This window comes from Homo sapiens, chromosome 10 (genome assembly GCF_000001405.40).
Source record: "Homo sapiens chromosome 10, GRCh38.p14 Primary Assembly".
Taxonomy (NCBI): domain Eukaryota; kingdom Metazoa; phylum Chordata; class Mammalia; order Primates; family Hominidae; genus Homo; species Homo sapiens.
Window position 1 is genome coordinate 97,614,340 of NC_000010.11, and position 20,754 is coordinate 97,635,093.

A 20,754-nucleotide genomic window follows, 5' to 3' on the forward strand; every position below is an offset into this window, starting at 1 on the left:
CTGTGCTACCTACTAGTTGGGACAGCCTGAGATTGTCTGATTTAAATAAGAAAAAAAAGTTCATACGTCCTCCTCTGTAGAGGCTGAGAAAATTAGATGACTTGATAAAGTGTGCAGGGTCAGTTCCAAGGGCTAACCCGATTAACTTTTACAAACAGCAAATGGGTTGATATTCATGAAGACGCAGGGCCAGAAAGTCAGGAAAACTAGGTATAGGCAGTTCTGGTGATTTCTTTATTCTTTATAAACACCTTTTTCTACAGTACAATTCAGAGAATAAATAGAGGCACACGGCTATAACTTCCACCACAATCTGCTGTTGAAGAGACATTCAATGTGAGGCTAGGGAGCTAGAGGTGGGGGACGTATTTGGGTACCAGGGTAACGGGAGGCCTACGTAATAAACTGCAGAGATCCCATCAGTAAGGTCTGATTGCGGCCTGACGGTCAAGGCTCATGATAGAAGAGCTACAGTGAGCCAAATGCTCCTTTAGTTCCCCACAGTCCTAGAGTAGGTCCAATTCTACCAAAACCCCAGGGGTTCGGGTGAGTCTGATTTATTGGTCCACTGGGAAGAAACTGTGTCAGCCCAAGCCATCCGTATGAATTCAGTTCACTCCATGGTAGTGCCTGAAGTGGCCTAAATATTCTACCCTTTTCCCTGGAGTTAGTCACAAATACAAGTAATAAGATTACTGTTTACATGAGTTTTTTTCTTGATTGTCCCAAAAAGGGATCCTGTTCCCCATCTAAGGAAGGAGAGAGGCACACATGGGGATTATCTGCTCTAAGTTGATGAAAGAAGACAGCCTGTCTTCTAAAGGGAGGAGGAAATAGCACTCTTACCGAATCCTTCACGGGGACATAGGCAGGAATGAATACCAGTCTGATCAGACCAAGTGGAAGCCTGCAGCCATGATTCCAACCAGCATGAGGAGTAACATATGGAAAAGCTCTGCCAGCCAGGCACAGTGGCTCACACCTGCAATCCTAGCACTTTGGCAGGCCCAGGCAGGAGGATCACTTGAGCCCAGGATTTTGAGATGAGCCTGAGCCACATAGCAAGACCCTGGCTCAATTTTTTATAATAATAAAATTAAAGGCTGAGCGTGGTGGCTCACGCCTGTAATCCCAGCACTTTGGGAGACCAAGGCGGGTGGATCACGAGGTCAGGAGTTTGAGACCAGCCTGGCCAATATGGTGAAACCCCGTCTCTACTAAAAAAAAATACAAAAATTAGCTGGGTGTGGTGGCGCGCTCCTGTAGTCCCAGCTACTCAGGAAGCTGAGGCAGGGGAATTGCTTGAACCTGGGAGGCAGAAGTTGCAGTGAGCTGAGATCATGCCACTGCACTCTAGCCTGGGCGAGAGTAAAACTCCATCTCAAAAATAAAAAATAAAATAATAATAATAATAATAAAAAAATTAAAAAAGAAAAGCTCTGGCCTTGACTTTCACAGGGCTGCTGTACTGAGCCACCCCTATCTTTTCCCTATTTCTCCAGAGTGGCACAGAGCACTGGCCCTAAGCTGGGGCTAGGATCACCTGTCCCCAAAGCAGCAGAACGAAGGTTCTGTATCACTTGGCAGAAAATGAAGCAGAAGGGTCACAGCAGGCTACACTGGGTAACCTGAGGTCTTAGGAACAGAGTATCAACCAGTGAGAAGAGGTGGCTCCTCTGTCCTCCAGCACATAAGGGTTAGGGAAAGACAGAACCACCAATGACTGCTGCAGGGTCTGCTGGCCAGCATCCTCAGCACTTTTCTGTGGTCCAGTTCTGGAATGGCAGGTGACAGGGCACATACAAGGCCTCTGCTCCACTGTCATTGTCAACTCATCTCAGCTCTGATTCATTTGTTCACCTCGAATCAACAACAGGGGCACTGGCTTTACCCAATACTTATCAGCTGGTGCCCACTGCGCTGTCAGGCAGTGAGATTTCTGGCTGACTTGGAGGCGCTCTGGGCCCGCTGAACAATGGCAGAACACTTCTCACGTCGCAGCAGCTTGTTGTTCTCAAAGAGACCTTCATTGCGGGGGATTCCATGAGAACCATCAGGGAAAGTCAGCAGGCCTTTGAGGAGGGCAGAGAAAATATGGGAGTGACAATGGCATTAATGTCTCAAAGATGAGACATATCTTTGGCCTTGATATGTCCAGGCCAAAGAAGAGAAAAACTCCCAGCTCTACTCAGGAGTACTCTATTGATGAGTTCAATGGATAGGTGTCAGGGACGGCCACTATGGATTGCTGGACACCCGCAGGATTAAAACTAAACAGGTATATTTCCACCCATATTATGCCCACCTAAGTCAGCCATCCTGCTGGGCTGCAACTTACCAAAACCATCTACTCTGCCATTTTTAAATTCCCCCTCAAAGGTCATGTTGTCATATCGAATGAAGACTCCGACGCCATTAAACTTGCCCTGGGCAAACTCCCCCTCATACCTGCAGAAACACCAAGAAGTTAGCCTTCAGTGGAAAGTTAGCTGTCCAGATGAACGGAGTCGAGCAGCTGCTGATCTCTGTTATTTAATGATGCTAAGGAGCAAGCCGATTCTACCAGTCACATAGCTCCACCTACCCCACCTATTCCCAAGGAGCAGAGAGTATATATGACATGAAGCCCTGATCTCAAGGAAAGAAGATAGGATGTGAATGGGAGTGGGGTGGAAAGTCACTCACTTGGTTGACATTTCAAATTTTAGGTCCACTTAAAAAATAGCTAATAAAAGAACTACTTATTACTCATCTGTGTTCTGCAGGGAGTGAGACAAGGTCAGGATTGACCAGATATTTACCAGAGTCCCATTTTTCTGTCAGACCCTCCCTTATTTAAGGCTAAGAAAGGAATGACCTCATACCCACCTTGAACCATCTGAGAAGGTCAATACCCCAAAGCCATTAAAGAGCCCATTCTCAAAATGACCCAGGTAGGTGCCACCATCTGCAAACATCAGTTGACCAAAACCATGCCTGCGGCCTGAACAAAGAGAAGGATAGGTGTCAGGTTGGAAGGAGGCAGCTTCAGGGTCCCTTCTTACTCTTGTAGCATCCCTTACCTGCCATCACCCTACCCACAAAGAAAACAAGAGAAGCAGTGACATTAGCAGGGCAGAGGATTATTAGCCAGAGTCAGGCACTGGGAAAACCTGGCTCCTGGGGCCTTCCCATCTTATCACTACAGATTAAAGCAGGTCTACCCAAGTATGAATAAGAGAGCACTTAAAAATAACAACAGCTGACCAGGCGCGGTAGCTTACACCTGTAATCCCAGCATTTTGGGAGGCTGAGGGTGGATCACGAGGTCAAGAGATCGAGACCAGCCTGGCCAACATGGTGAAACCCCATCTCTACTAAAAATACAAAAATTAGCTGGGTGTAGTGGCGCCTGCCTGTGGTCCCAGCTACTCGGGAGGCTGAGGCAGGAGAATCACTTGAACCCGGGAGGCAGAGGTTTCAGTGAGCTGAGATCGCGCCACTGCACTCCAGCCTGTCGACAGAGTGAGACTCCGTCTCAAAAAACAAACAAACAAACAAAAAAACAACTGGCTGGGCGCAGTGACTCACGCCTGTAATCCCAGCACTTTGGGAGGCCGAGGAGGCGGGCAGATCACCTGAGGTCAAGAGTTCAAGATCAGCCTGGCTAACATGGTGAAACCCCGTTTCTACTAAAACTACAAAAAATTAGCCGGGCATGGTGGTGGCGCGCTCCTGTAACCCAGCTACTCAGGAGGCTGAGGCAGGAGAATCGCTTGAACCTGGGAGGTGGAGGTTGCAGTGGGCCGAGATCATGCCATTGCACTCCAGCTCGGGCAACAAGAGCAAAACTCCATCTCAAAATAAATAAATAAATAAATAAATAACAATTGCTAACATGTGTATTTATAGTGCCTTTACTATGTGCCAGCCTCTCTTCTTTTTTTTTTTTTTTTTTTTTTTTGAGACAGAGTCTCACTCTGTCGCCCAGGCTGGAGCACAGTGGTGCGATCTTGGCTCACTGTAACCTCCGCCTCCTGGTTTTAAATGATTCTCCTCCCTCAGCCTCCCCAGTAGCTGGGATTACAAAGTGTTGGGATTACAGGCATGAGCCACTGTGCCTGCCCTAAATTCTTGAGCCTTGAGAGAAATTGTACAGGTGTGATGTGACCTTGGCTCCTCCAATCCCAGGCATTTCTTCCTGGCTTTCAAATACCTGGTGTCCCCTTTAATGCGGACTGTTAGAGGAGAGACTTCCTGAGGCTCTGCTGGGTGGGCTGTATCCACCACAAGAACTCCCTTGAATTCTGTTTGAAAGGCATGATTACTCCTGCAACATCTTGCTCTGTTTTCTGGTCAGTTCAGAGAGTAAGCACAGCCCTGTTGTTATAATGAAGCTGAAACCAGTGCTGCTAATCAGGCTGTTAGATTTGCCCAGTAGCTTTAAGGTGCTAAATGGATACTGGTTGTTTTTTTTTTTTTTTTTCCTCAGAGAGGCAATGTAGTTAGATTTTGAGGACACCGAGTCAGGCTGCCTGCTGTGTTTGCCTTCTTGTTCTACCACTTAGAGTTCTGTGATCTTGAGTAAGTTACTTAGCTTCTCCTTGCCTCAATTTCCCCATCTGTTAAATGGGAATAATAATAGTATGTGCCTACCTCATAAGGTTGTCATGAGGATTAAATAAGATGATAAATACAAAATGCTTAGAAGAGAGGCTGGCATGGGCCGGGCATGGTGGCTGATGCCTGTAATCCCAGCACTTGGGGAGGCCGAGGTGGGCAGATCACCTGAGGTCAGGAGTTCGAGACCAGCCTGGCCAACATGGTGAAACCCCGTCTCTACTAAAAATACAAAAATTAGCCAGATGTGGTGGCAGGCGCCTGTAATCCCAGCTACTTGGGAGGCTGAGGCACGAGAATCGCTTGAACCCAGGGGGCAGAGGTTGCAGTGAGCTGAGATTGCACCACTGCACTCCAGCCTAGGCAACATAGTGAGCGAGACCTCATCTCAAAAAACAAAACAAAACAAAACAAAAACAGAAGCAAAAAAAAGAAAGATATAACTCATTCCTGGAGGTTGAATTAACAATAGCATTTTCAAATTCCTTTATTTAATCCTAAAATGGAATAAAGGAATGGCAGGCACTATATGGAATTAAATCCTGGAGTTGAAAATGAAGATCCATAAAGTTGGCTATATATCCTGATGTATTTGTCCTCCAGCAAATGAAGTGTTCATCATGGATACTCCCCAGGGGTCCTTCTCACCCTCCTTCCACTCGCCACGATATTCCTCCCCACTGGAGTAGGTGAAGGAACCTTTTGTCAGGGTCATGGTGACAGATTACAGGATAAAAGGATGAAACTGTAGGAAATAAGCAAAGGAGAACCAGTGTCATGGAATGGCGGGAGGAAAGGACTGCAAGGCAATTTTATAGATACATTCTAAAGGCCACCAGCCTGGTAAGTGTACACTGCCTTAGGTGCATTTAACCAAAATACCCCTATCTCCAACCACCACCAGCACCATCATCTCCACCTCTGCCCAAGTGCTCTTATCCTCCTGCTTATCTTAAAAGTTTTCAGCCAGTTCCTATTTTCTATGACCTGGGATGGAAATCTACAAATATTAATCTACAAATATTTATTTGATACCTACTATGTGCTCAGTCGATGTATAAAATACAGTATCTTCCCTTGACGAGTTTATAATCTAGTTAATAAGACTAACAATTTAAACACTGAATTATGCCAGAGATAATGTGATTAAGTGCCAACTTGGATGGCAGAGATTAACAAAGACATGAGATGGCCAGAATTTAAAACAAGCAGACAAGCAGTGGAGAAGGCAAAGAGCAATTCCAGAATCAGAAAACATAGGGAACAGGCCAGGGGCAGTGGCTCACGCCTGTAATCCCAACACTTTGGGAGGCCGAGGTGGGTGGGATGACCTGAGGTCAGTTGTTTGAGACCAGCCTGGCCAACATGGTGAGACCCCGTCTCTACTAAAAATACAAAAATTAGCTGGGCGTGGTGGCAGGAGCCTGTAATCCTAGCTACTTGGGAGGCTGAGGCGGGAGAATCACTTAAACCCGGGAGGCGGAGGTTGTAGTGAGCTGAGATCACACCACTGTTACTCCAGCCTGGGTGACGGAGCAAGACTCTGTCTCAAAAAAAAAAAAAAAAAAAGAAAAAAAAAAGAAAATATGGGGAACCAACACTCAAAGGGCAAGGAACACTCTAAGGGCAATGTGAACACGAGATGTTCCATGGCAAAATAAGAAGCCTGGTCTCATTACAGTTGAGGGTTTATTTGGGGAGTATTAGGAAATAAGCCTGTGTAGGTACATGTAGCCACAATCTTAAATTTGAAGAGAGGCCTGGTGCAGTGACTCACACCTGTAATCCCAGCACTTTGGGAGGCCGAGGTGGGAGGATCACTTGAGCCCAGGAGTTCAAGACCAGCCTGGGCAACATAGCAAGACCTCATGTCAAAAATGTAAAATTAAAAAACAAAAAATAGGCCGGGCGTGGTAGCTCATGCCTGTAATCCCAGAACTTTGTGAGGCCGAGGTGGGCGGATCACGAGGTCAGGAGTTCGAGACCAGCTTGGCCAACATGGTAAAACCCCATCTCTACTAAAAATACAAAAATTAGCCGGGTGTGGTGGCGGGCACCTGTAATCCCAGCTACTCAGGAGGCTGAGGCAGGAGAATTGCTTGAACCCAGGAGGCAGAGGTTGCAGTGAGCTGAGATCACACCACTGCACTCCAGCCTGGGTGACAGAGCAAGACTCTGTCTCGAGAAATAAATAAATAAATAAATAAATAAATAAATCTGAAAAGAATCTCATGGATTTAGCCCAACCTCTCATTTTATAGGAGAAATAGAAGCCCAGAGAGGTAATAAAGTTTGTTGACAGCCTCCCCTGACTATGCTAGTCCTTTTTTCCTGTACAGCACAGCCTCTGCTTTTAGCTCAGGCTAACTTAAAGAGACCTTTGAAAGCTGGGCATAAGAGTTTACAGCATATGAGGGAGGAAAAGAGGCGACCTCTGCGGGTTTGTGAACCAGGATGTAATATGAAGGCAGTGTGTAAGGAAAATGAATGTGGTAGCACGAAGTGGGATGAATTGGAGCAGCAAGTCCATAGTCAGAAAAGCTTGCAAGGAAGGGAAATATGATAATGAAGCAAATTGTAAAAATGGGCAGAGTTATTCTCCCTCCGTTCATGACCCTACAATGTGACAAGGCAGATCCTCCCATTAAGAGGCAGAGTTGGCCGGGTGCGGTGGCTCACGCCTGTAATCCCAGCACTCTGGGAGGCGGAGTGGGTGGATCACCTGAACCAGAATGGCCAGCATGGAGAAATCCTGTCTCTACTAAAGATACAAAACATTAGCAGGGCGTGGTGGCGGGTGCCTGTAATCCCAGCTACTCGGGAGACTGATGCAGAAGAACTGCTTGAACTCGGGAGGCAGAGGTTGCAGTAAGCCAAGATCGCACCACTGCATTCCAGCCTGGGCGACAGAGTGAGGCTCTGTCTAAAAAAAAAAAGAGGCAGAGTTTATTTATTCCTCCACCTGCTGGACCTGGGTTGGCTGTGTGACTTGTTCTAGATAATGGAATGTTCGCAAAGGTGATCTAGCAGAGGTCTGCAAAGCACCTGTGCACTGGGCTTGCCCTCTTGCTACACTTGGACCTGTTCTGCCCCCATGTAAATGAGTCCAATCTAGTCTACTGGATGGTGAGACCCTGTCCCAGCTGGCCACAGATGAACAAATTGCTCAGGCAAGACTAGAAGAACTGCCCTTCTGAGCCCGGCCCCAAACTAGCGACCACAGACTCACAGGATAAATAAATGGTTATTGTTTCAAGCCACTGTGTTTTCTGGTGGTGTGTTATTACCCAGAAAAAGCTAACTGATACGTTCAGGCATGAGTCTGGGAGATCACAGTATAATGGGAGCAGAAGGAACAACTGGGGGGATACATCATAGGAAAACAATCAGTAACATTTGGGGACTGGCTAGATATGGCTTCACATTAGTGGTGAAAGGATGTATTGAAGGATATTCTATAAGAAGGGAACTGCACGGTGGCTCAAACCTACAATCCCAGCACTTTGGGAGGCTGAGGCTTGCGGACCACTTGAGCTCAGGAGTTTGAGACCAGCCTGGGCAATATGGTGAAACCCCATCTGTACCAAAATTACAAAAAATCCAAAAATTAGCCGGGTGTGGTGGTGCGTTCCTGTAGTCCCAGCTACTTGGGAGGCTGAGGTGGAAGGATCGCTTGAACCCAGGAGGCAGAAGTGCAGTGAGCCAAGATCACGCCACGACACTCCAGCCTGGGCGACAGAGGGAGACCCTGTCTCAAAAAAAAAAAAAAAAACGGAAGAAGAAGAAGAGGGAATTAAGATACCCCCCAAAATCATTAAATATAAACAGAGGCAAATAGTACGTCATTTGATAGACTAAAAAATACAAGCCCTATTTCTTTTTTAATTCCCTAGGTCTCTTCATTCATCCCTTCATCTTTCATTTATTTATTTATTTATTTATTTATTTATTTATTTATTTTTTAGAGACAGGGTCTTGCTCTGTCACCCAGGCTAGAGCACGGTGGCACGATCATAGCTCACTGTAACCTCAAACTCCTGGATTCAAGGCATCCCGTCACCTCAGTCTCCTGAGTAGCTGGGACTACAGGCGCACACTACCACATCTAGCTACCTCCTCATCTTTTCCAGATCTAAGCAATACAATGTTTTCTCCAGTAATTTTGACAATGCAGATTCCTAGGCCCAAACTCAGACTTACTGAATCAGATTCTGTAGTCAGAGCCTGGGAACCTGCAGTTTTAATAAGCACATCATTAGATCCTTACTTCAAAGCTTGTGGCCTACTGCTACAATAAATGGAAATACTGTGTGTGAAAAGTTCTCTGAACTATAAATCACTATTGAAAAGTCCTCTATCAACCAAGCATGGTGGCTCATGCCTGTAATTCCAGCACTTTGGGAGGCTGAGCAGGGACAATTGCTTGAGCCCAGGAGTCTGAGGCTGCAGTAAGTCATGACAGTGCCACTACAGCCTGGGTGACAGAGCGAGACCCTGTCCCCCTCCAAAAAAAAAGTCCCCTCTGATTAATAAGTAACCTAGAGTCTGACCCTCAGGCATCTGACTGAGTTCCAACAGGACAAGGACACATTCTCCTCAGAGTACTGGGGCCAGACCTGGTGGAGAAACAGGAAAGAATTCTTTTTTCTTTTAGAGACAGGGTCTCATTATGTTACCCAGGCTGGACTTGAACTCCTAGGTTCAAGAGATCCTCCAATCCCCTCTTAGACTTCTGAGTAGCTGGAACTACAGGTGCATGCCACTGCTCCCAGCTCAAAACAAGACGGGATTCTTTTTTTTTTTTTTTCTTTTTTTGAGACAGAGTCTCACTCTGTTGCCCAGGCTGGAGTGCAGTGGCATGATCTCGGCTGACTGCAAGCTCTGCCTCCCGGGTTCATGCCATTCTCCTGCCTCAGCCTCCCGAGTAGCTGGGACTACAGGTGCCCACCACGACGCCCCACTAACTTTTTGTATTTTTTAGTAGAGATGGAGTTTCACCGTGTTAGCCAGGATGGTCTCAATCTCCTGACCTCGTGATCCGCCCGCCTTGGCCTCCCAAAGTGCTGGGATTACAGGCATGAGCCACCGTGCCTGGCCGCAAGATGGGATTCTTAAATCTCGGGGGCCTGGCGCCAACAGCTAGCTTCCTTTTCCTTCAAGTCCCAGGGAAGCCAAAACCTCATCCAGTCAAGATGGAGTTCCAAAGAGTGGGTTCCATAGTTTCATAGCACAAAAGGGGTCTGGTATATTTTATGCAAAAGTGATGCTTTAAATGTTCAACTAAAACAACCCATATGTTAAATTTGCTTTCTCCACATTGTCATGGTGGACAGTGCTAGATTATTTATATTTCAATTCAGGTGGCACAACCCTCTCTAATAATCAATTGCACTAACCCCAGAGAAGCTGTCTGAAATACCTTTATAACAGAAGCTAACATTTACTGACCTCTTACTGTGTTCCATCAGTGTTGTTTATTTGTTTTGTTTTAAGAGATGGGGTCTCACTCAGTTACCCAGCCTGGAATGCAGTAGTGTGATTGTGATTAGAGCTCACTGCAGTCTCAAACTTCTGGGCTAAAGTGATCCTCCCGCTTCATCCTCTCCAGTAGCTGGGACTAGAGGTGTGTGCCAACACACCCAGCTACTTTTCAAATTTTTTGTTGAGATGGGTATCGCTATGGTGCCTAGACTGGTCCCGAACTCCTGGCCTCAAGTGATTCTTCCTCATCAGCTTCCCAAGTAGCTGGGATTACTGGTGTGAGCATCAGTGTTTTTTGTTTTGTTTTGTTTTTGAGACGGAGTTTCACTGTTATTCTTCCCCAGGCTGGAGTGCAATGGCGCGATCTTTGCTCACTCCAACCTCCGCCTCAGCCTCCCAAGTAGCTGGGATTACAGGCATGCGCCACCACGCCTGGCTAATTTTGTATTTTCAGTAGAGATGGGGTTTCACCATGTTGGTCAGGTGACCTCAGGTGATCCTGACCTCAGGTGATCCACCTGCCGCGGCCTCCCAAAGTGCTAAGAATACAGGCGTGAGTCACCGCACACGGCATGAGCATCAGTGTTTTTAAAATATATTATCTAATTTCATCTCACAACAACTTTTTGGGGTGGGTATTATTATTATTTCCACTTTAGGGATGAGGAAACTAAGGTGCAGAGAGGATAAGTAAATTAACTAAGGTCATACATGTGGAAACTAACACGTGAAAGTTAGAATCAGAGCTCTGACAGCTGGCCTTGCTGGCACAAGTTCTTACAGTAACTTGCTAACTTATACCATACTATCCTATCTGGCCTCCCAGGATAATATGGTGGTGTTGTAGACTCTGAGCACAGGAGGACTTGAGTTCAAATATGAGTTCACTGTATAATTATGGGCAAGGTATTTAAGTATCTCTAAATCTCAGTCTCCTCATCTGTAAAGTGGAGATAAGATATGTATTTCACATAGTTGGCAGGTGGATTAAATTAAATATCTGAGAGTCAGTGGGTGACAGAAAAGAAAAATAAAAGAAAGAAAATGACACACACGTAAGTACCTAGAACACTGCTAGGGCCTGTCCACTAAATGTTAGTTTCTTTCCTCTTTCAAAGTTTTACACTTAAACTCACACATATACTTACTGTAATGAAAACTTCTCTAGGTCTTTCCTCAGTAAAAACTGCTACCAATGTAATTCAAACAACACTTTGAAAAAGAAAATCTCAGCAATTTTGACTAAAGAGCTGAATACTAAGTAGAGGAAAAACAAACTATAGTTGCCACCCATCCACTCTTTATCAACATCCTACAGGATATTTTTATTTTGGCCTCATGTCATAACGATTTTTTGTTTTTTAAGGAGACAGTGTGTCGCTCTGTTGCCCATGCTGGTGTGCAATCGCTTGATCATAACTCACTGCAACCCTGAACTTGTGGGCTCAAGCAACCCTTCTGCCCCAGCCTCCCAAGTAGCTAGGACTATAGGCACACACCACCATGCCCAACTAACTTTTTTGTAGAGACCGTGTCCCACTATGTTGCCCAGGCTAATCTCAAACTCCTAGCCTCAAGCAATCTCTGGCCTTGGCCTCCGAAAGTGCTAGGATTATAAGCATGAGCCACCACACCCAGCCTCATGCCTTTTTTTTTTTTTTTTTTAAAGAGAACAAGCGGGCTGGGCACAGTGGCTCACGCCTGTAATCCCAGCACTTTGGGAGGCTAAGATGGATCACCTGAGGTCAGGAGTTCGAGACCAGCCTGGCCAACATGGTGAAGCCCTGTCTTTACTAAAAACACAAAAATTAGCCAGGCGTGGTGGCACATGCCTGTAGTCCCAGCTACTTGAGAGGCTGAGACAGGAGAATCACTTGAATCTGGGAGGTGGAGGTTGCAGTGAGCCAAGATCATGCCACTGGTCTCCAGCCTGGGTGACAGAGCGAGACTCTGACTCAAAAATAATAATAATAATAATCATAATCATAATCATAATCATAATCATAATCATAATATGTTCTGATGCTTGTTCTCTCTCTTTTTTTTTTTTTCTTGAAACGGAGTCTTGCTCTGTGGCCCAGACTGGAGTGCAGTGGTGCAATGTCGGCTCACTGCAACCTCCACCTCCCGAGTTCAAGTAATTCTCCTGCCTCAGCCTCTCGAATAGCTGGGATTTCAGGTGACCGTCACCATGGCTGGCTAATTTTTGTATTTTTAGTAGAGACAGGGCTTCACCATGTTGGTCAGGCTGGTCTCGAACTCCTGACCTCAGGTGAGCCACCCATCTCAGCCTTCCAAAGTGCTGGGATTACAGGCATGAGCCACTGTGCCCAGATTTTTTTTTTTTTTTTTTTTTAGACAGAGTTTCATTCCTGTGGCCCAGGCTGGAGTGCAATGGTGCAGTCTCAGCTCACTGTAACCTCTGCCTCCCAGGTTCAAGCGATTCTCTTGCCCCAGCCTCCCAAGTAGCTGGGATTACAGGCCCCTGCCACCACGCCCAGCTAATTTTGTATTTTCAGTAGAGACAGGGTTTTACCATGTTGGCCAGGCTGGTCTTGAACTCCTGACCTCAGGTGATCCTCCCGCCTTGGCCTCCCAAAGTGCTGGGATTACAGGCATGAGTCACTGTGCCCGGCCTGATTTTTGTTTGTTTGTTTGTTTAATGGAGACTGGTGCTGGTGACTTTGCTGAGTAGCTTCAGCAGAGGGACCTGAACACCTTTTTTTTTTTGTTTTTTGTTTTTTGAGACACTCTCACTCTGTCACCCAGGTGGAAGTGCAGTGGCTCGATCTCAGCTCACTGCAACCTTCGTCTCCTGGGTTCAAGCAATTCTCGTGCTTCAGCCTCCTGAGTAGCTGGCATTACAGGTGTGTGCCACCACGCCTAGCTACTTTTTGTATTTTTAGCAGAGACAGGGTTTCACCATGTTGGCCAGGCTGGTCTTGAACTCCTGGCCTCATGTGATCTGCCCACCTCGGCCTCCCAAAGTGCTAGATTACAGGCGTGAGCTACCGCGCCCAGCCAGAACATAATGATTTTTGATACAGACACCAAAAGCCCAGAAATGGTCTAATGTGAAAACAGCTAGGCCTGACCAGAGCAGGGTTCAATGACATCTTCTACGCCCTGGCTCTGTCCCAGCCATGAGGACAGACGAGTTATAAGAATCCCTGTGCTCTCACCCAAATAAGAGAAAAGATTCATTTCTCGCCTAAATGAAGGGCAACCTTGTGGAGACTCTTCTAGAGATATTTGGGGGCCACTCCCATAGGACTTTCTCCCTTCTTCAGTTATCAGTCAAGCATTCCATTTCCAGTATCTCTCACACAGAAGATATCCGAGGCAAGGACCATTATCTTCTTGTAGTAAACTCCCTCCAAACCTCTGGGAGCTATTTTCTGAGACGTGATGCTGGTACTTGCCATGTCATCTCTGTCCTATCAATGTCCCACAAGGTCAGCATCCAATTTCAGGCTCACAAGCCTCTTATCACCAGCCCAGCATCAGAGTGTGCTGGGGTAGAGGCCAACATGACTCCATTGCAAATATAACATTAATGAGAGCATGAGAAGTAGTTTTCCATCAGAATAGCAGAAGAAAACGCTTTCCAGTACAGACGGGCATTTTGATCAGGCAATCCTCAGCTCTTCCCAGAACTAAGTTACAGCACTAAAAGTCAGCTTATGGTTGAAGTTTCATTCCTTCAAAACACATCAGTTAGAATCTGAAGGGCTGTATCTTCCACTAAATCTTATAATTAAACAACCATTCCAAAACCTAAACACAAAATCACTATTTATACAAAAAGATTATAAGAGCATTTCCTTTAGATGTCTGGCAGCAGTTAACCAACTTGTTTTCACTCAAAATTTGGAAGGAGTTATTGCAGTGGGATTTGAGGAGTCATATTGACTACACAGGGACTCAGGGAAAGTACTGCCTTGTATTTATTTACTTTTTCTCAAGGCTACGTGAAACTTCCAAAGAGTGGCATTCTACCTTGTTCCAGAAGGAACAGTATAAGATTGCTGAAAGAAGGGAACATTTCTCCAGTTTGAGGGTTATTTACGGACAAAGTACTAGTTTTCAAGTGGTACACCTAACCACTTTTTTTCTTTCTTTTTTTTTTTTTGAGACACAGTCTCACTGTGTCACACAGGCTGAAGTCTAATGGCATGATCTTGGCTCACTGCAACCTCCGCCTCCCAGGCTCAAGAGATTCTCGTGCCTCAGCCTCCTGAGTAGCTGGGATTACAGGCGTGCCAGCACGGCCAGCTAATTTTCATATTTTTAGTAGAGATGGGGTTTCACTATGTTGGCCAGGCTGGTCTCAAACTTCTGGCCTCATGTGATCTGCCTGCCTTGGACTCCCAAAGTGCTGGGATTATAGGCATGAGCCACCACGCCCAGCCCCTAACCACTTTTTTAGTATGCTGTTAGCTCTTGGGGATTATACCCTAAATATTTTAAGGAAGCCAATGAAACTGAAAAGGTTACCTTCTTATTACCAAATGTGGCGGACTGTATTTCCAAGATGTTTGCAACAGTATCTTCTGTCTTACATGTTTGTCTACAATTTGATCTGGCCATTGATCCATTAAAAGGTGAAATCTACCTCCCCTCCCTTGAATCTGAGTAGGCTTGTGACTGCTTGGACCAAAAGAACACAATGAAAATGATGGTGTGGGCCGGGCGTGGTGGCTCATGCCTGTAATCCTAGCATTTTGGGAGGCCGAGGCGGACGGATCACCTGAGGTCGGAAGTTCAAGACCAGCCTGACCAACATGGAGAAACCCCATCTCTACTAAAAATACAAAATTAGCTGGGTGTGGTGGCCCATGCCTGTAATCCCAGCTACTTGGGAGGCTGAGGCAGGAGAATTGCTTAACCCAGGAGGCGGAGGTTGAAGTGAGCCAAGATCGCGCCATTGCACTCCAGCCTGGGCAACAAGAGTGAAACTCTGTCTCAAAAGAAAATGGTGGTGTGTTCTGAGGTTAGATCATAAAAGGTGATGCAACTTCCATCTTGTCACTGATACACTCACACTTGGAGACCCGAGCCACCACATAAAAAGCCTGACTACACAGAGGCTAACACTGAAAGCCAAGCCACACAGAAAAGCCATATATTGGTGTTCCAGTTGGCTGCCCTTACCTTTGAATCATCCTATCCCACGTACCAGGCATCAGTGAAGGAGCCTTCAGATGATTCCAGCCCTCAGCCATTGAGCCTGCATTCCATCCCATATCAGGGAGCAGAGAGAGGCCTCCCCATGGTGCCAGGTCCAAATTCCCTCACCCACAGAATCCATGAGCATCATATGGGTGTTTTTTTTTTGTTTGTTTGTTTTGTTTTTTGAGACAGAGTCTCGCTTTGTCACGCTGGGTGGAGTACAGTGGTGTGATCTCGGCTCACTGCAAGCTCCGCCTCCCGGGTTCAAGCAATTCTCCTGCCTTAGCTTCCTGAGTAGCTGGGACTACAGGTGCTCGCCACCACGCCCAGCTAATTTTTTTTTTTTTTTTTTTGAGACGGAGTCTTGCTGTCTCCCAGGCTGGAGTTCAGTGGCACGATCTCAGCTTACTGCAAGCTCTGCCTCCCAGGTTCTCGCCATTCTCCTGCCTCAGCCTCCCCAGTAGCTGGGACTACAGGCGCCCGCCACCATGCCCAGCTAATTTTTTTTTGTATTTTTAGTGGAGACGGGGTTTCACCATGTTAGCCAGGATGGTCTCGATCTCCTGACCTTGTGATCCGCCTGCCTCAGCCTCCCGAAGTGCTGGGATTACAGGCATGAGCCACTGTGCCCGGCCCCGGCTAATTTTTTGTATTTTTAGTAGAGATGAGGTTTCACTGTGTTAGCCAGGATGGTCTTGATCTCCTGATCTCATGATCCGCCCTCCTCAACCTCCCAAAGTGCTGGGATTACAGGCATGAGCCACCGCGCCTGGCCACAGTATGGGTGTTTTAAGCTGCTAAATTCTGGGGTACTTTGTTATACAGCAATAATAACTGGAATACCATGTTTCAACCTAACCCTCCCACCATCCTCTCCCATTGGTTTTCAACAGTACATACTACAAACTTCCATTCCATTTTGACTTAGGCACATATAGCAAATTCCCTTCAGCAAATGCTTGCCAAAATGATGTCCATTGCCAAGACCACAGTCAGAAGTGCTAATGAAAGGGAATGTGTGTAGAATCCATGAGTCTCAGGCCATGGTTGAATACATTTGGCTAGAAACTGTCACATGTGCCCAAATAGTTGATATTGTCACTATTTGGGACAGTGTCTGGATTTTATGACTTTTATAATTAACCATGCTAATGAATAGCTTTACAGCTACTGACCTAAAAAGGAATTTCACCAGTAACCATGGTCATTGAGACAAACCTAGTTTAACAAAGTATAGTCAGTGCCGATGAAGACTGAAAGCCCAATACTTTTTTTTTTTTGAGGCAGTCTGGCTCTGTCATCCAAGCTGGAGTGCAGTGGCGTCATCTCAGCCACTGCAACCTCTGCCTCCTGGGCCCAAGCCATCCTCCCACCTTAGCCTCCTGAGTAGCTGGGACTACAGGAGCATGCCACGACACCCAGCTAATTTTTGCATTTTTTGGTAGAGACAGGGTTTTACCACGTTGCCCATGCTGGTCTTGAACTCCTGGGATCAAGTGATCTGCCTGCTTCAGCCTTCCAAAGTGCTAGGATTACAGGTGGGAGCCACCATGTCTGGCCCAATACTTTAATAAGGGATGCAAATCAGTATTTCTATCAGTTATCCAAATCATATTTTTAAAGAGAATATATGGCTCAGGAGTTTAGGCTACAGATACACCCATGGAATCCAGTCACAAACCAAGATGATTCACACTTCTAAACAGACACTCACCCTTTCTGCACTCCTGATAGATGGGTTGCAAAGGATCAGTCCAAACATTTACATAAAAGAAAATTACTATTCTGTCCCTGTAAACCAACACACTATTAGTCTGCACTATATACCATATTCCTGGTATCTTCATTTTCTTTTGTCCCAGACATTTCTTTTTAATTATTATTATTTTCTTATTTCCAAACAGAACTCTGAGGCAATAACGAGAATTTTTGTTTCCGTTCTTTTTATCGTTTTCTAATTTTAAGAAATCAACGTATTAAACAACATTTTTGTATTCACAGTAAACTGTGTCCAATTTAAGAGGATTAAAAAAAAAAAAACTGACATAAAGAGGAAAAAGGGCCAGGCATGATGGCTCACTCCTGTAATCCCAGCACGTTGGGAGGCTGAAGCAAGAGGATCGCTTGAGCCCAGGAGTTCAATACCAAGCTGGGAAACGTAGTGAGACCTCATCTCTACAAAACAATACAAAAATTTGCTGGGTGTGGTGGTGCATGCCTGTAGTCCCAGCTACTCAGGAGGCTGAGGTAGGAGGATTGCTTGAGCCCACAATTTGAGGCTGCCGGGGTGAGCAGTGACTGCACCACACCTGTACTCCAGCCTGGGCAACAGAGCCAGACCTTGTCTCAAAAAAAAGAAAAGAAAAGCAAAACAAAACAAAAGGTTGGGGCGGTGGGGGAGATCCAGTTAGAGAATACTGGGTGGAGGCAGCCACCCTAACTACCCACATGTCCCCCCAGAACCACCCTTCCCAGGGTACAATAGTCTTGTCAAATTATTTCAGTAATAAAGAAAGCAGTTCATAAGCTTTTAGAATCCTAAAGAGAAGAAAATGAAGGCTTTGATGAACAAAGATTAGCCTTGTTAGGAACCTAGAACAAAAAGTCAAATAATACTCCCCTTTTTTTTTTTTTTTTTTTTTTTTGAGACGGAGTCTTGCTCTGTCCCCCATGCTGGAGTGCAGTGGCAGGATCTTGGCTCACTGCAACCGCCGCCTCCCAGGTTCAAGCAATTCTCCTGCCTCAGCCTCCTGGGTAGTTGGGATTACAGGCACGTGCCACCATGCTTGGCTAATTTTTGTATTTTTAGTAGAGACGAGGTTTCACCATCTTGGCCAAGCTAGTTTTGAACTCCTGACTTCGTGATCCACCCGCCTCGGCCTCCCAAAGTGTTGGGATTACAGGCGTGAGCCACCGCGCCCGGCCTAAATATTTTTTTTTAAGTGTTTTAAAAGGAGCTCGAAATAACTGTTTTTCATTATAAGTCTAACCTCCTCTTTCCTCATGTGAAAAGTAAAGAAATGTATCGTTGCTATATGAAGGGTTCGTTTAGGGAAGACTGTGGGATGGTTAGATTGAAGAAAGTGGGAAGAAAATACTGGCGCCAAAAAGATTTTTTTTTTTTTTTATTTAAAGGCGATGATGACCTGGGGGTGATTGGGACTAGGGAGTAATACTGCCAGAATACTATCCTATTTCACGGGAAAGGGAATGCCAGGGCTGGACTCCGATATAGCAGTTATTCCTGCTGGTACCTAAGCAGTTCAGAGATGCTAGAATGCAGGGATACCACCCATCAACTAAATGAAGCATCCCATTCCCCAGGCTTCCATATGTGGGAGTTCTCTCCACCAGTGAGATAAAGGCGGGCTCAGGGAAAACAAAGCCCTAGACCACAACAAGGCAACACCTTCTCGCACCCCATTTTCACCTTCCAGGCGCGTTCCTTCCTGCTATCCGGGCCCGCTCTCCCGCCCGGCAGGGTCTAACGCTCACACAGGTCTGCCAATTCCCCTGATGCAACCCTCCACCCTCTGCTCGCTAACCCCAGTCCAGTCAGCTCTCCCGGGCCTCGACCCCCGCGGTGGAGACTAAAGGGTTCAGGTTTGGGTCCCCCACAGGCAACCGCCCTCAGGTCAGCGTATCCGAGGTGGAGCCGCGCCCCCGAGCCGGGTCATCTCGTGCTCCGTTCCTCAGTGCCCACCTGACCGATCACACTCTTTCCCGGCCCCCTCCCTCCTGCGCCTCCAGCCAACCTGGGGCCGGCCTTTCGGGATGACCGTCACGCCTGGACGCAGGGTTCCAGCGCCTCGGACTTTTCCTCTGATGGGCTCCCGGCTGCCACCTTGCTCTCCGCCACCTCCACCAGCGATTGCCCCACTTGACGCCGCCATCCTGGGCGACCGCACTGGGTACAATTCCCGCTGCCCATTGGCTGTTACCTAGGCAACCGGGAGCAACGCCACTCCGCATTGGCCCAGCCCGGCTCCACGCCATCTTTGTGCGGGGCCGAGTGTTTGCGAACCCGGGCTGACTATGTGAAAGAGGGGTGGTCCCACCTCTGCAACGCAGATAAAGACAGAGGATCCAGATCTGGCCTACCCAGAGGCCGTCTAGTTGAAATGGCAACCCCAAAGAAAACCAAACCTGCGCCCGAAGCAACAGTGACCATCAACGCGAGCGGCTCTGATCTTGCTCCAGTCCCCACTGCTGTCAAGGGCCCCGCCGCGGAGTTTAAGGCAGATCCTAAATCCAGCTTCAGAGAGGCAGCTTTGTAAATTGTAACGCGCTAGGCAGGATAGCCTCCAATAACTCTGTGCTAGACATTGTGATATCAAGACACTTTTGCATTCATTATAGGAATTTGTGCTGTCCTTGTCATTATCTAGATCCTTTTTGTTTAAAATATAGTACCTGGCCAGGCGCAGTGGCTCACATCTGTAATCCCAGCACTTCGGGAGGCCGCGGCTTGAGCTCAGGAGTGCGGGAGGCTTGAGCCCAAGAGTTCTAGATCAGCCTGGGCAACGCAGGGAGACTCCGTATCTACAGAAGAAAAAAATTACCCAGCCTAGTGGTGGGTGCCTGTAGTCACAGCTACTCAGGAGGCTGAGGTGGGAGGATCCCTTGAGCCCAGGAGGTTGAGGCTGCAATAAGCCATGATTCTGCCACTGTACCCCAGCCTGGGCGACCTAGCAAGACCCTGTCTCAAATAAATAAATTGCAAACCAAAAAGTATCTGAGACAGGTCTCAATCAATTTAGGAGTTTATTTTGCCAATGTTAAGGACATGCCCGTGACACAGCCTTAGAAGGTCCTAAGAATGTGTGTCCAAAATAGTCGGGACACCACTTGATTTTATACATTTTAGGGAGACGTAAGACATCAATCAATACATGTAAAATATACATTGGCTTGGTCCCGAAAGTGGGGGTGGGGGTGGCAAGTTCCAGGATGTAGGTGGATTCAAAGATGTCCTGATTGACAATTGGTTGAAAGAGTTTAAAGACCTGGAACCCACAGAAGGGAATGTCTGGGTTAAGTTAAGGAATTGTTACTAAGATATGCACGCACACACACACACACACACACACACACACACACACAAGGAATTGTGGAAATCAAGGTTTTTATTATGCAGAGAAGGCTACAGGTAGCAGGCTCCAGAGAGCATAGATTGTAAATGTTTCTTTATTTTTTTTTTTGTTTTGAGACAGGGTCTCCCTCTGTCACCCAGTCTGGAGTGCAGTAGCTGGATCACGGCTTACTGCAGCCTTGACCTCCCAGGCTCAAGTTATCCTCCCACCTCAGCCTCCTAAGTAGCTGAGACTACTGGTTCATTCCACTATGCCTGGCTTATTTTTGTATTTTTTGTAGAGATGGTGTTTTGTCATGTTGCCCAGGCTGGTATTGAACTCCTGGGCTCAAGTGATCCTCCCATCTCTGCCTCCCAAAGTGCTAGGATTACACGTGTGAGCCACCAAGGCTGGCCAGTGTTTATTATCA

At 46.6% G+C, this 20,754-nt stretch overlaps 1 protein-coding gene across 3 annotated transcripts, besides 1 other annotated feature; it reads right to left on the bottom strand.

Annotated features, from left to right (window-relative positions):
• Nucleotides 216–19,817, bottom strand: MORN4 (MORN repeat containing 4). 3 transcript variants are annotated; one of them, NM_001098831.2, is made up of 5 exons: nt 19,666–19,817; nt 5,248–5,344; nt 2,869–2,983; nt 2,339–2,448; nt 216–2,072 (listed from the first exon to the last, which is right to left on the bottom strand). In NM_001098831.2, exons 2-5 carry the CDS (start codon nt 5,312–5,314, stop codon nt 1,924–1,926), a joined length of 441 nt encoding a protein of 146 aa, NP_001092301.1. In that variant the 5' UTR covers nt 5,315–5,344; nt 19,666–19,817; the 3' UTR covers nt 216–1,923. The 3 variants fall into 3 exon arrangements, with proteins under 3 accessions (NP_001092301.1, XP_011537553.1, NP_849154.1); XM_011539251.4 differs by lacking the exon at nt 19,666–19,817 and adding an exon at nt 19,399–19,623; NM_178832.4 differs by lacking the exon at nt 19,666–19,817 and adding an exon at nt 19,008–19,161.
• Nucleotides 19,425–19,514: an enhancer, noted in NCBI's record as "active region_3854". NCBI's record gives its function as "activates an Ori minimal core promoter by ATAC-STARR-seq in GM12878 lymphoblastoid cells {active_cell/tissue: GM12878}" and the evidence as "EXISTENCE:reporter gene assay evidence [ECO:0000049][PMID:35858748]".
• Nucleotides 19,818–20,754: the final 937 nt, after the last annotated feature.

Coding starts and splice junctions, on each gene's coding strand:
- MORN4 (NM_001098831.2), bottom strand. CDS start 5,314: ATGACCCTGACAAAAGGTTCCTTCACCTACTCCAGTGGGGAGGAATAT. Junction 2,984..5,247: donor TCGTGGCGAGTGGAAGGAGG/GTGAGAAGGACC, acceptor CTCTTTGTTCAG/GCCGCAGGCATGGTTTTGGT. Junction 2,449..2,868: donor ACCTTCTCAGATGGTTCAAG/GTGGGTATGAGG, acceptor GTGTTTCTGCAG/GTATGAGGGGGAGTTTGCCC.